At 41.5% G+C, this 13,598-nt stretch overlaps 2 long non-coding RNA genes across 3 annotated transcripts in view; one reads left to right on the top strand and one right to left on the bottom strand.

The window, feature by feature from the left end:
* LOC107987087 (uncharacterized) overlaps window positions 1-13,598 on the bottom strand; it is a 288,244-nt gene that overhangs the window by 212,323 nt on the left and 62,323 nt on the right. The window lies entirely within an intron of this gene.
* LOC105376110 (uncharacterized) overlaps window positions 1-13,598 on the top strand; it is a 72,772-nt gene that overhangs the window by 33,855 nt on the left and 25,319 nt on the right. For both annotated transcript variants that reach the window (XR_001746780.2, XR_001746779.2), the window contains exons 2-3: window positions 4,748-5,003; window positions 5,504-5,679. This is a non-coding gene — a long non-coding RNA (uncharacterized LOC105376110). The remainder of the gene's footprint in view (window positions 1-4,747; window positions 5,004-5,503; window positions 5,680-13,598) is intronic.

Below are 13,598 nucleotides of genomic sequence, written 5' to 3'. Positions count from 1 at the left end.
GTGTTTACACTAATCATTACTCTTTCTGTTCCAAGTAACAGAAACCAAACTAAAACGGCCTTAAAAAAGGGATGGTGGTAGATATTGGTGATAAAATTTGTTGGTTCAGGTAACAAAATATTCTAGGCTGCATCTAAATGTTCAAACTATGACATGAGGCATCATTTCTCTGCCTTTTATCTCTGAGCTGGCCAGTGAGGGGCCAAAGATGGGCACTAACAGCTCCAGGATGATTTTCCCCGACCCTAGAAACACCAGTAGGGAGTTCCTTCTTCTTGAAATCCCTGGAGATTATTCTAATTAGTTGTGCTCACACTTCAACTGATCTCTTTGGTCAGACTTAGGTCTATGGTCCAAACTGGAGCCCAAACTAGGCTCAATTCCAATTGAAGTACAGGCCTGAAGTGGGGTGGCGAGAGGTATGAGGGGTGTTAAGCAAGCAAAAACAAAAGCTGTCTGCCTCAGGGATGCCATTGCCTTTAGCCATAGGGAGAAAGGGACCAAATTTGGGCCATTAAAGTTCTCCATGCTATATGTTCCTCATACACTTGGAAGACTAGATGGCATTTTAAGGCCATCACTTTTCCCTTCCCTCCTTCCTTTCCCTTCTTCCCTCTCTTTCTTCCTCCCCTCCTCCCTCCCTTCATCCCTTCCTCCCTTGACATTGGCTGAACATCTACTATGTTCCGGACACAGTGTTGAGTAATGGGGATACAAATGAATAAAGATATTGTCTCTGAACTTCAGGAATTCTAGAAGTTTTCTCAGGTCCATATCAGCCCTAAAAAATGTAATATTTGCTTGCAGTCCTTTGACCGAAATGTGAGATTCTTACAGTGCCTAGGGAAATTGAGTAAATGGCCAGAGAGAGATTCCTGTATGTAGACATGTTCTGGGCTTCATAGGAATTTTTTTAGCTTTCTTTATGTGGAGAGCCCTTAACCATAGAACCATGGCCTGCTCAACTCTGATACCTTAGGCTGTAGTGCAAATTTTTAATTACACGTGAATTGAAAATAGTTTCTTCCATACACAAGCTAATAGCAGCCATTATTGCTTATTGGTTGCAAGGGCCCAAATGTTACTAAAGGTGCTCTGTATAGTATAAAGCAAGCTTTTCTGGAGTTACTGAGGTAATTAAAATCCCACATGATATTTAACATATGAAACCCAAGAACTATGATAAAATGCATTTATTAGGCAAATAAGGAATGCAATCCCTTAGTGGTAACTGAGTACCTACTAAGTAACTTAGTAATAATAGTAACTGAGTCAGCCTTGTGAGCTGAAGGCTTAAGCAGAGTACTACTGGGGAAAACTCTCCCCTCTTCATGTTAGTCCTGGAGGGTTTCATGGAGAAGATAGGATTTTCTGACTCCATTTAATTTTGCAACCACTCATGTTTAAACTCATCTTGGTTAACTGTGCCACCAGCTTGCTTTCCTTCATTTGTGCCTGTGCTGGATATTGTTAGAATAACATTTGATACTATCATCAGAGATGAGAGATGGACTGGTAGTATGAAAGGACAAAGGAAGACAACCTGTGTCTTTTCTAATTGCAGCCAAGATACTATCTCTAAGACAAGAGGGCAAGACACTTGACCTTGACCTTTATAAGCTTCTGTTTTCTTTTCTACAAAATGAGGGGAGCAGTCTCTCCAGTCAGCCAGTGCTGTTCAATGGAGCTTTTAGAGATGCTGGAAGTGTTCTGTATTTGTGCTGTCCAATAGAACAGTCACTAGCCACATGTGGCTTGTGACTAGCTAGTACGACAAAGAAATGGAATTTTAAAATTTTACTTGATTTAAATTATTGTAAATTTTAATGTAAATAGACACACATGGCTAGCAGTTACCATACTGGACTTCAGAGAAAGGAATTCCTACAGTTCTAACCAACTCCCAAATTCTGGAGTTTTAGAATAGCCTACACGTGAGGTGTGTTAACTCTGGGCTTTTATGTATAAAAGTCCTTTTAAGCATCAAAATCCATTTTGTGCTCTCAACACTGAAGTTTCCATTCAGCTTTCCAATTTAGCTGAAAGATGAGCAAAGGCACATGTAAACAGAAAAGCTCCCAGGGGAATGAGCAGCATCTCAATAGGGCTCTTGTCAGTTGAGCATTCCAGCAGACTCCTAGAATATATTACCCCTGTGAACTATTCTCCTGCGAAGGCAACTGAAGACACTCTAAAATATCGCTGGGAGGCTGGAGCCTTCTTCCCAGTCTTTCTTGATGCAGGCTGCTGTTTCTGGCTCATGAGGCACACATACCTATAGTGAGACGGTACCTGAACCAAACATGATGATATGGAGATTTAAAATTACTGGTTCTTTGACCTAACAAAGACATCCCAGCCATTATGGCAAGATCTCAAAGCCAGAAAAGAGTGAAAAGACAGATGGGAATTGCCACACTGCCTGGGTTTGTGTGTGTGCAAGTAAGCATGTGGTCTAGTTGCCAGCTGGCAAGGGTCAATTTAAATTGGTCAGCACGCTGTTCTGTTCTGAGGGGTTGAGGCTCTCCCAAATTATCATCCCTAGGACTGCTGCATTCATATCAGATAGAAGAGGTGAAGGACCTGAATTATATGTTGAGCCCTGATCAGGTTATCCCCTGAGCAGCAGACCAGCTTTCTCCAACTCTGCTTTATGCTTCAATGCTCAACCCACGAGCCCACCTAGCTTAATGTCTAGAAAGTTATCTTGAGGGAATCACCTGGCACAAAGATTTAGTGAAGTCTACAAGTTGCCAGTTGTTCTTTATATCATTTTCCCTAAAGGATTCAGACAGATGCGACAGCATAGCCAAGAAGGAATGGAGGCTTTAGAACCACCCTGCTGAATGACCACCCAATGTCCCACACTGATGCCAGCCTGTCCTCCTCAGAGTTCTGAAGAGCGCAGAGGATCATGGGAAACAACATGGTGAACTGCAGTGCTCTCACTTTATTCAATGTCACAAATGTCATGGACAAAGACACTTATAAGTGGCATTAGACTGAATAAGTGTTGACCCCTAGCTCAGAGGTGGTGCTGAAACTCCTCCTGGGTTGGCATTTGAGGGATTCTGTTAGGACTGGCTCCCAGTGGGGAGGCTCTCTACATCTGGGCACCCAATCATTGTCCTAAGACGTATTTTATTGCCTCTCTTCTTGATTCTGATAGCATTCAAAGAGTTACCATTCATCCACTCCACAAGTGTTATTGCTGACACTACCTGTTCCAGTAACTGTTTTGGCAGCAGACCAAACAAGCCTTTTTGAAGCCTAAATTTGATGAGGAGGGTGGGGTGCAGGTGAGACAGCAAACAAACAAATAAATATTTAACATGTTGAGTAGTAGAAAGTGCCAGAAAGAAAAGCAGCACAGTGAGGATGATAAGAAATGAGGGGTTGATATTTTTTGTAAGTTAGTCAGGGCAGAATTCTGTCTGATAAGAAAACATTTGGATATACATCAGATGGAAGTGAGAGAATGAACCATTTTATTAAATGAGTGAAAAGTGTTCCAGGCAGAGGGAATAGCTAGTGCAAAGGCTCAGAGGCAGGAGGGTGTTTGGTGAGTTTGAAGAGCTATAATGAGACAATGTGGCTGGAGACATGTGGGGAAGGGGGAAAGTTAGAGAAGATAAAATAGGAGTGTGTGTGTATTAGTCCATTCTCACATTGCTATAAAGACATACCCGAGACTGGGTAATTTATAATGAAAAGAGGTTTAGTTAGCTCACGGTTCTGCAGGCTGTACAGGCTTCTGTACAGAGTAAAAGCTTCTGGGAGGAAGATCTCAGGAAACTGACAATCATGGCAGTAGGTGAAGGGGAAGCAAGCATGTTTTACATGGCTGGCAGGAAGAAGAGAGTGAGGAGAGGAGTGTTATACACTTTTAAAACAAGCAGATCATGGGAGAACTCTATCACAACACAGCACTGGGAGGATGGTGCTAACCCATTAGAAACCATCCCCATGATCCAATCACCACACACCAGGCCCATCCTCCAACACTGGGGATTACATTTCCACATGAGATTTGGGTGGGAACACAAATGCAAACCATCGGTGTGTATGCATGTGTGTACATGTCTGTTGAGTGTGTGTTGAGTGTGGGTCTATGTGTTGAGTGTATGTGCTGAGTGTATATATCTTTTGAGTGTGTATATGTACATATGTATATGTATGCATGAGTATAGACAATGTGTGGTGTATGTGTGCATGCATATGTGTTGAGTGTGTATAAGTGTATGTGTGTACATGTGCATGTGTGTAGTGTGTGTATGTGTGTTGAGCATGTATGTGTCCGTGTTGTGTGCATGTGTGTGAGCATGTGTGTTGAGTGTGTATGTGTATGCGTTTGTGTGTGCATGTGTGTATGTTTGTGTGTGTGTGTGTGTGTGTGTGTGTCTGTTCAGGGAAGAACACGTAGGGCCTTAGAGCACTCTGCAAAGAATTTGGCTTTTACTCTGAATGAGATGGGAAACCACTGGAAGATTTTGAATATGGAACTGGTTATGCCCTAACTTAATAATGTTTCACTCTGGCTTCTGTATGAAGTGCAGTCCATACAGGGACAAAAGGGGAAGTGACAACCAGTGGGGGTGGCATAAGTTGTCAGAGTCTGGATGTATTTTAAAGGTAGACCTAACAGGATTTCCTGAAGAATGGTCGTGAGGTGTGAGAAAATCAGAGGATTCAAAGACTGAATCTAGGTTTATGGTGAAAATAATTTTTTACTGCTTCATCTTTGTAGAGCTTAACAGAAGGAATGGCAGAAGTTTGCCCAAATAAGGTACATGGGCAGACACCTGAGGCTTTCAACACCTGTTTTAACAAAGAAGAAGAACCCATCAAGTCAATTTTTCTGATCCAGCAAACAGCATAGGTCTGGGAGTCAAAAAGCCTGGTAGCACATAGCCTCTCAACTACTTATTACCTTCCCTGACACATTTGTCCATCCTGGATGTCCATTGATTCATCATAAAGGATTGTCGAAAGAATTAAATGAGGTCAGTACAGTACCAAAGATAGGGTCCGGCATGTAGTCAGCATTTAATACAGCCATACCTACAAAAACTAATTTCTATTATTGTGCATTACAAATTACACAATGTATAAAATCAGAGCAATGAGCACATTCTTTTTTATGTTGGTCTCTGCTTATGTTTATAAAAAGCTGAATTTCACTCTCCCCCTCTGAGTCTATAGAGACTGAGACGGGGAGGGAGGTGGGACTGGGGAGTGGTACCCACTGGGACAAAAGATAACTTTTATATAAAACTATTTTTTCACTCCCTTTACATCGGTGCAGCTGCAGCCTGGGAGCTCATATCAGAGTCTATCGTAAAGCAGCTTTATTAAAAATAACAATAATAATGAAAGGGTCCAGGTTAATTCCAGCTATTGACCCTGTGGGTAGCACTTATATAGGCAAAAGGGGATGCTTTCCAATGCTGGTATTGATTTCCATGTATAACTCCCTCCTCACAGAATCCTTTTCTCATTGCAGCCAGCGTAAAAGCAATCATTCTCTTTATGATCGCTCCTTCAAGTCAGACTCCAAGCCACTCGTAAAAGAAAGAAAAAAGCCTGGAAGGAGAGGCCTGCAGCAAAGTGAGGTGTCTCCTTTTATGAGCAGTGCCCTGGGATAGCTCCAAACCCAAAAGCTAAGTGCCCTGAAGACAGGTGAGACGTGGTGAATGCAGCAATAAGGGGAACTTTCTGCAAAATCCATTAAGGGTGTGTTAGGGGGAATGGATTTTTCTGTAGCTGAGCCTGGAATGGAATAAATGGAAGCACCTCACCTATCTGGCTCTCACTTCTCCTTCTCTCTCTCTTTCTCTTGCTCTCACTTCTCCCTCTCTCTCTCTCTCTCTTTCTCTCTGTCTCTCTCTCTCTATATATATACACACACACAGCTCAGGTTGCCCCATTTTTCTCCCCACCCAGACTCTATTCTACACCTCAAGGGCCCATGTCTTCATGCCTATGGACACCCCAGCCCTTTTGTCCAAGTTCATTCCCAAACCCCTCACCCTCTCAACTGTCAACCACCATCAGGGCAACCCTTGAGCCTGGGGATGTGCACTCACTCCCACAGCCTGGTATATCCTGTGGGATGCCCAGGCCCTGGAAGCAGGCCTATGTTTTTAGGGCTGAGAATTTCTAGCTCCTGGAATGCTCAGAGAATGATCTAGAAAGAACTACACCATGCAATCCAGTAGCCACTAGGCAGACAGTTATTGAGCTCTTGAAATGCAGCTGATCTGAACTGAGATGTGCTGTTAGTGTAAAATATACACTGGAATTTGAAGACTTAGTACCAAAAAGAAAAGAAAAAAAATGTGAAATATCTCAATTTTCATATTGATTTCATTATAAAATTATGTTGGATAGGTTGTTAAACTTAAATTCATTAGCTTCCTTTTGCTTTTTTTTTTTTTTTTAAGACAGTCTCGCTCAGTCGCCCAGGCTGGAGTGCAGTGGTGTGATCTCAGCTCATTGCAAGCTCCACCTCCCAGGTTCATGCCATTCTCCTGCCTCAGCTTCCCGCCATTCTCCTGCCTCAGCTTTCCGAGTAGCTGGGACTACAGGCGCTTGCCACCATGCCCGGCTAATTTTTTTGTATTTTTAGTAGAGATGGGGTTTCACCGTGTTAGCCAGGATGGTCTCGATCTCCTGACCTCGTGATCTGCCCACCTCGGCCTCCCAAAGTGCTGGGATTACAGGCATGAGCCACTGCACCCGGCCTCCTTTTGCTTTTTTCATGGCTACTAGAAAATTTCAAGTCACATGTGGCTCACATTAAGTTTGTATTGGACAGAGCTGGTCTAGACCAGTGGTTCTCAAAGTGTGTTCCCCAAACCCACAGCATCAGCATTACCTAGGAACTTGTAAAAATGCAGATTCTTAGGCCCACCCCCTACTTCCTGAATCAGAGCTCTGTGCCCAGCCATCAGCTTTTGATCAAGCCTCCCAGGTGATGATGATGCGAACCTTTCGTCTAGAAGCAGGAGAGTGCAGCTAGATGCAGAGAATTGCAGGGAAAGAACCAGAGCAAGATCCTTGGAAGACTCAGCGCCGCTGCCCCCCACCCCAAGTTCCACCCCAAGGGCAGTTCTAGTTCTGCCCTTAGCCCTCCTCGAAGGGCCTGCCTGGGGTTGTTCTCCTACATACAAGGAGATGTATTTATTCAAGGGGTTCAGTCACCTCACTAAACAAAATCACTCGCTTAGGCCGGCAAATATTGACTCAAGCTGTTACGCTTTTATGTATTTCAGCAACTCCCAATTTCGAGGGCTCAGCAAGCAAACAAGAACAGGTACAGGAAGTGATTGTGGTGTTTGGGCCCCTGTCTGTTTTTGTGCAGCTGATGCCTGTTGGCCACTGTGTGATGCTGGTTACTAATGACCTTGTAAAGGAGCACTCTGCAGTTGATAAGCCAAAGGCTTTAATAGAATACAAATGCATTTTACATTTCCACTTGAAGAGTTTATTTTAATTGTGTTTTGAAATATACTCTACCCTAAAGGCCCCTCTTTACCCAGCAATGTACATCCTCAAAATAAAACCCTGCAAAGAATGGAATGCATAATGGGGTGCCATGTAATGGGCAGTTTTGCCCTCAGTTTAAGGAGGGCTGCTGGCATTCTTCTGCATATATTTAAATAGGTCTCTGCAGCTTAGGAGGGAGGAAAGGAGCTGTGCACTCATCATGTGTGGTTGTAAAGAATTGGAGTGTCGGAAATTCCTTATAGCCTTTTGTGTTTTCTTTAAGTAGCCTCTTGGTTCTATCTTAATGATGGGAACAAAAAGTTTTTTAGAATTTCTGATGTTAGCTGGAATGCTGGGGGTCATACCCAGAGGTATGAGACTTCAGCATGCACAGGTTGGGAAATGGATGGGAGAGGCCTGGGGGACGGGTCTGGCAGCCTGGGAATTGCAGAATTGCAGGAAAGAGAAGAAAGAACAGATAAGGCAGAGGAAAGCTGGGATTCCCAAAGCCCCTCCTCCATTTCTTCCTTTCTAAATCCTGCTCCCTTATTTGCTCGTACACACCATTTTCTCTCCTCTCCCCCCTCTTTTCATTCTTCTTCATTTTCTTTTCCTCGTCCTTTCTCTTTCTTCATCCCTCCTTTTCCCCTTCTGAAATAAGGTGGAGAAGAGAACCACTGAAAGGAAGAAGGAAGGGAATTGACCCCCTAAATAAATCAAGTGCAGTATTTACCCCTACTTCAGGCACATGTACTTGCATACACTTCCTTATATATCACACATAAGCATTCGCAGGAGGTAATGAATGCACACACACGTGAGATACGTAAGAAAGGTTCTTTAGCTCTAAATCTAGAGCAAAATACCAAAGAACAATGTTGCCAAAGTGACACTGACCCTGAAACCATTCAAAGATTGGTGCTTTGGGCTTTCCTGTTTAAAGTAATCACGTGGGGATGACTAACTCAGGGAACAGAAGGCACCCAGTAAGCTCCCATAAATATTAGCATTATGGCTGCTTCTGTGGCGAAGACTTGCAAATGGAAGGCATTCTGTGGTTAGAAGATCCACTTTACTTTTTTTCTGTCATTTAGACCTCAGTGATGTGGTCAAAGCAGCAAAATTGTAATTAACCCAGTGCTTATTTTCAGTCAAGTTATTTTTTTAAATTAGAAAGTAGATAATTTACATAGGATGCACCCCTTAGTAAGTTAATATTGAGAGCTCTTAGAAACCATTTTTCTCTCTCTCTCCCTGCCCTGCCTCCTTCTTTCTCTGTGACTTTTTCTTCCTTGACATTTCAGATAAAACTCGGTGATGAAACAAAGTTCAGTTCACTGACCAGCTAATCCGTTGCCTAGGGATGACCTGTGATTTTGTTACTGAGAGCACGTGCTAGTGCCAGAGCTCCAACAGGAAACTCGTTCCAAGCCACTGCCCCATTGATTTGCCCTGACTTTAGATAGCTGTCTGTGTTTTCTCAATGCATGGTTTTGGAGGGTCCTGGGGTCCTAAGGCCCAAATGGATTAAACTCTGGGATGCTGAACTAAACATTCTGGGTTTAAGTCTCATCTGGGGTAGAAACACACTTTTCCAGTGGAACTGAGCCTTAGGACAATTCTTTAGCTCCAGATGCTTCTATGTGAGGGAATTAGAAACAACACATTAAGTGTGATGGTGAGATTCTTAAGTTAAGTGGATATGGATGCAGGAATTTTCCCTTCTCACTGTGATAGTCACAGACAAAAAAATAATTTGAGGCAGAACTGACTCAGTCATAAATATAAGCCAAAAAACATATCCACATGATGGTTCACTGTTACAGCCAAGTTCCTCAAAGTGTCATCCTTAGGCTTGTGAAACATGGAAATTCTCAGGCCCCATCCTGAGTTATTGAATCAGAATCTCCAGGGTGGGACCCATCAATTGAGGGTTAAAGTCTGAAAGACATGGCTCTGAGCGAAGAGCCAGAAATTAATATTTTGTTGTTGTTGATGCCTTTTTCCTCCTAGAATTATGTATTTTTTTCCTCAAAGTGAAAAGGATTTTATTTTGTTTCATTTAATTATAAAATCATTTATGTTAATTGTAAAAAAGTTCTGATAAAGGAAAGTTTAGATAAGTTAAAAATCACCAGCAATCCCACTAGAGATAACTATTTATCAACACTTTCATTTTTATTTATTGTATGTGAACAAACACAACTCTGTGAGCAGAGGTGCTGCTTTCATAGAACCATAAGATATTAATGTCATGAGGGAAACTGGAGATTATGTAGGCCCCACCCCCTCACATATATCCAAGAAAACATATATCCTCACATATATCCAAGAAATCCAAGAGTAATTAGCTCTTCATTTATGTTGGGGCACAGGTCCTCCTAGTGCCCCGGCATAAATTAACCTAATAGATGGCCCTACCAGTCTCTCCAGTAGATTAAGAATGAAACATCAGGACCACCTATCTGAAGGGCTGGTATGTTAGAGTAGAACTCTGTATAGTTTCAAATTTCAAAGAAGCCTAAATAGTGCGGGTACCTAATAAGCCTAATATTTTTCCCTTGGGGTGGAAAACAAACAGGTAAAAGAAAGCGTACAAGACCCACTGATAATACTTCTCCATCCTTGGTGAAGTAGGCTACACAATAACTACCACCCATTAGTCAGCTATTAGTGCAATGTATATTAATGGGAAGGCAATTTGTTCATCCACCTATTCAATGCTTTAACATATTTTTTTTTTTTATATACAAAACAAACATCATTTAGTTTGAGCCAGACATTACTACTCTAGGACTAGTGCATTGGTAAGAAGCAAAATGTACAAATTGGGTGTATCATTTAAATGAACTTGTAGCTTCCTTAAAAATAGTCTCAACTCTGGTGCTCTGAGGCTGGGTTTTGTGAGGCTAACAAATTGTATGCTTCTTCCTTCAGTTTTAACTGCATATCATCAAATAAACTTTAATGAGAGTATTCCATCTCTGGAGTTGCCCAATATTTGGAGATTATTTTTTAATGAAATATCTTGTTATCATTGTCCAAATAATTGATGACCTTTCAAGTGGAAAGCATATGTAAATACAGGGACAGGAAATCAGTATATTTCCTTGTAAGGAGGAAAAAAAAAAGGCATGCAAAAAAGAACAGGAGGGTGGGAAAGTTCTGTGAAATGTCAATTACAGTTTCTGAATGGTGAGTTTTAGTTTACCATATATTTTCCGATCATATGCACCATCCCATTTGCTCTTCAGAGTGTCACTATGCCACAGACAGCAGCTGACACTGTTACCCACAGCACTGGTGTGCTGGTGAGAAGTTAGCCGGTGGGTCAACACTTGGTAAACCAACAGCATTGAACAAATGGAAGGTATTTATATGAAGATCAGGATATGTGTATTGCAGTAGAACACTTTGTGCTCTTCATAGCAAGGGCATCTAATGCCTGGAAGTAACCTTTCAAGGAAGTATTCAGCTTCTGGGAAACACAATGATCTGCTTAAAAACTTAAAAAAAAAAATCAAGAATCAGTGACTTTTTGGTTATCAGGCTCCATGCTCTTGTTTTATTGATGAGTAAATGGAGGCTCAGAGAGGTTACGTGGCTTACCCAAGGACTGGAAGCTGCGATGCCTGTAGTGTTGTTTTTACTACAACCATATCTTGCCTAGAGAGCCTCAGAAAGCATGTCCACACACTGCTCCTCCTTAGTCAGTGCTAAAGTTACCTTAAACTGTGTCTTATGTTTAATACAAGGATCCAACAATTAGATGATAGTGGCAGACATGAGGTTGACTGACAGGAACCTCAGGGTATGTATCGAAAAAATAATGCACTCCCCATATACTTGGTAAGCCCAATTAAATTGAGTATTGAGATTGGAGTGGAAATTGGGGTGGAGTGTAGGGTAGGGGTGGGGAAGCTGAGGGCAAATGAGAACATTACTGGAAATGGCAGCTGAAGGCCTTTCATAGAAATTGTTGGGTCGTGTGACCTCAAAGTAACAATTAATAGTTGATTTTTTCAAGAAAACCATAACTCTTGCCGGACCTCTTTACAATAGAACACAAGTTTATGATCTTTTTATCTCAGTTCATAATGTATTGTTAAGACAAGGCAAGGAAAATGGTTTATAAATGTAATATTCCACTAGGAGATGTCTAGACGGCTGTTTTTGTTCTTTTCCTTCTCTCCTTTCCAATCATCCAAGCTTTGAATGTGAGAAAGAGACTGAAGACCTTCAAACAATAGGCCCAATAAATGTCTTTCCATTCTGGAAGGAAAAAAATTGGTCTCAGGGGCCCAGTAAACTGAGTCTAAGTTGGCCTGAAATAGCCACATACTTTCTGTTCTCTGGACTCCTCATGGTCCCTATCAAATTATTTAACTGGCCTTGAAAACAAGCTCTGTGGCATTCTGGAGGCCTTTATCTTTTATGGAGATTTACTGTATCCAATGCAAACCTCCTCCAGGGCTCAGGGAGTCTCAGCAGCAAGGAATATGGAACCACTCAAATCAGGACTAAATGGGGACTTTGAAGACAAATGGTAAACTGTGTTTTCTTGTTGACAAAATAATCTGAAGCTTTTGTTGTGTGTTTCCATAAAAGACTTCCCAGGCATAAATCAATATGGCAGCACCAACTCCACGAGAATAAGAAATGATAAGTATAGTTTTCAGCACCCCGTAACCACTCATTACATTTATTTCCCAGTTTTCTTTGTTAGGCCTTTCCTGTTCAAATCCGAGCCAGCACATTTTTGGCTTCCCAGCTGAAGCAGGAGGCACTGCCAATCAGCAGGAAATACAATACAGATAAGATTCGTATAAACTCTTTTGAACTGGTAAAATAGCTGGATAGGAAATGGATGTTAAATTGTTTACGTTTGGCACGAGAAGAAAACGTTCCATTTTTAAATTCAAAGCCTCTGCACCTTTGTAAATGAAAACAAATCACATGGGTCATGTAGTGTTCCACTCTGCAAAAGCCATCAAGCAACTGATAAAAGCTTTTGCAAATCACTAACTTTATCTGGGACTTGCTCAAAAGAGTCATTGCCCAGATTAATATGATGTGGCCCATATCTTCAGTCTCTGGAAAAACTGCACATCAACAGCTGGCTCCCAGCATACTCTGAGGAGTGATCTACAAATAGTGGCAAGTTGCTTTCATGGGGTCCCAGAAAGCTTTGGGGGAGATGCCTGTGAATTCTTATTTTTTTACCTTACTTATTTCAAAAATCCTATGAAAGTGTGACAGCATGAAGAATTCAAATATGTGGTCTGAGGACATTAGCATTGTGAAAAAGCTTTCATCTTGGCAAACATTGGTGCACCCGGCTGGGTTCAAGTGATAAAATCAGTTTGTGAAAATAGAAACTAATTTAAAAAAATGGACTGTTCAGTTTCATGAAACAACCAAGTAGCTTAATCCCAGAGAATGATAAATTCCTGCTTTGTCTGAATTTCTGTATGTTTCAGCCATTTGATCTTATTTCATCTAAGCATAGTCTAGACTGCAAATGATGTAAAAATTGTTCAGAATGTGTTTAATAGTTAAGTGAAAATAATTACAAAGCTGAATTAGAGGCAAATGACTGGCCGGCAAGTCCTTTGTCATGGGTGGGATGCAAAGCCTGGAATATTTCATCACTGTGGCCACCCACGTGATCCTTCTATGTTTTTGTATCATGGTCAAGTATATTTTAGAGTCAACCATATGGACCAAAGAAAGGGGACAGACAGCAGGACTATGGTTACATGAAGTTACATACTGGGCTGAATTTTACGTTGATAAGCCATCTGGTTCCCATTATTAGAACAATGCTGGCTTCAGAATGAGCCAGATAGAGGAATCTCTATGCAACTCTGTGCATCTTTTTAGAATCCTTAGGGCTCTTCTGGGAGGGGTTTCTTTTATTCATCCATTCATTCCATAGGGAAAATCCTGAGCTGCAATTAGGAATATGAGACTAAAGATAGCTGTCTTCATCGATATTGACTTCTCATTTATACCCACGTAATTTAATAATTTGTGAATCGGAAGATTATTTTCCTTCAAATTATAGTGTAGGTCCAATTTTCTGAGATTTCAAAATGGTGAAGCTTGCA

Source organism: Homo sapiens, chromosome 9 (assembly GCF_000001405.40).
Source record: "Homo sapiens chromosome 9, GRCh38.p14 Primary Assembly".
Taxonomy (NCBI): Eukaryota; Metazoa; Chordata; class Mammalia; order Primates; family Hominidae; genus Homo; species Homo sapiens.
Note: the sequence above shows the minus strand (reverse complement) of the source record. Positions and strands in the feature narration are given on the sequence as shown.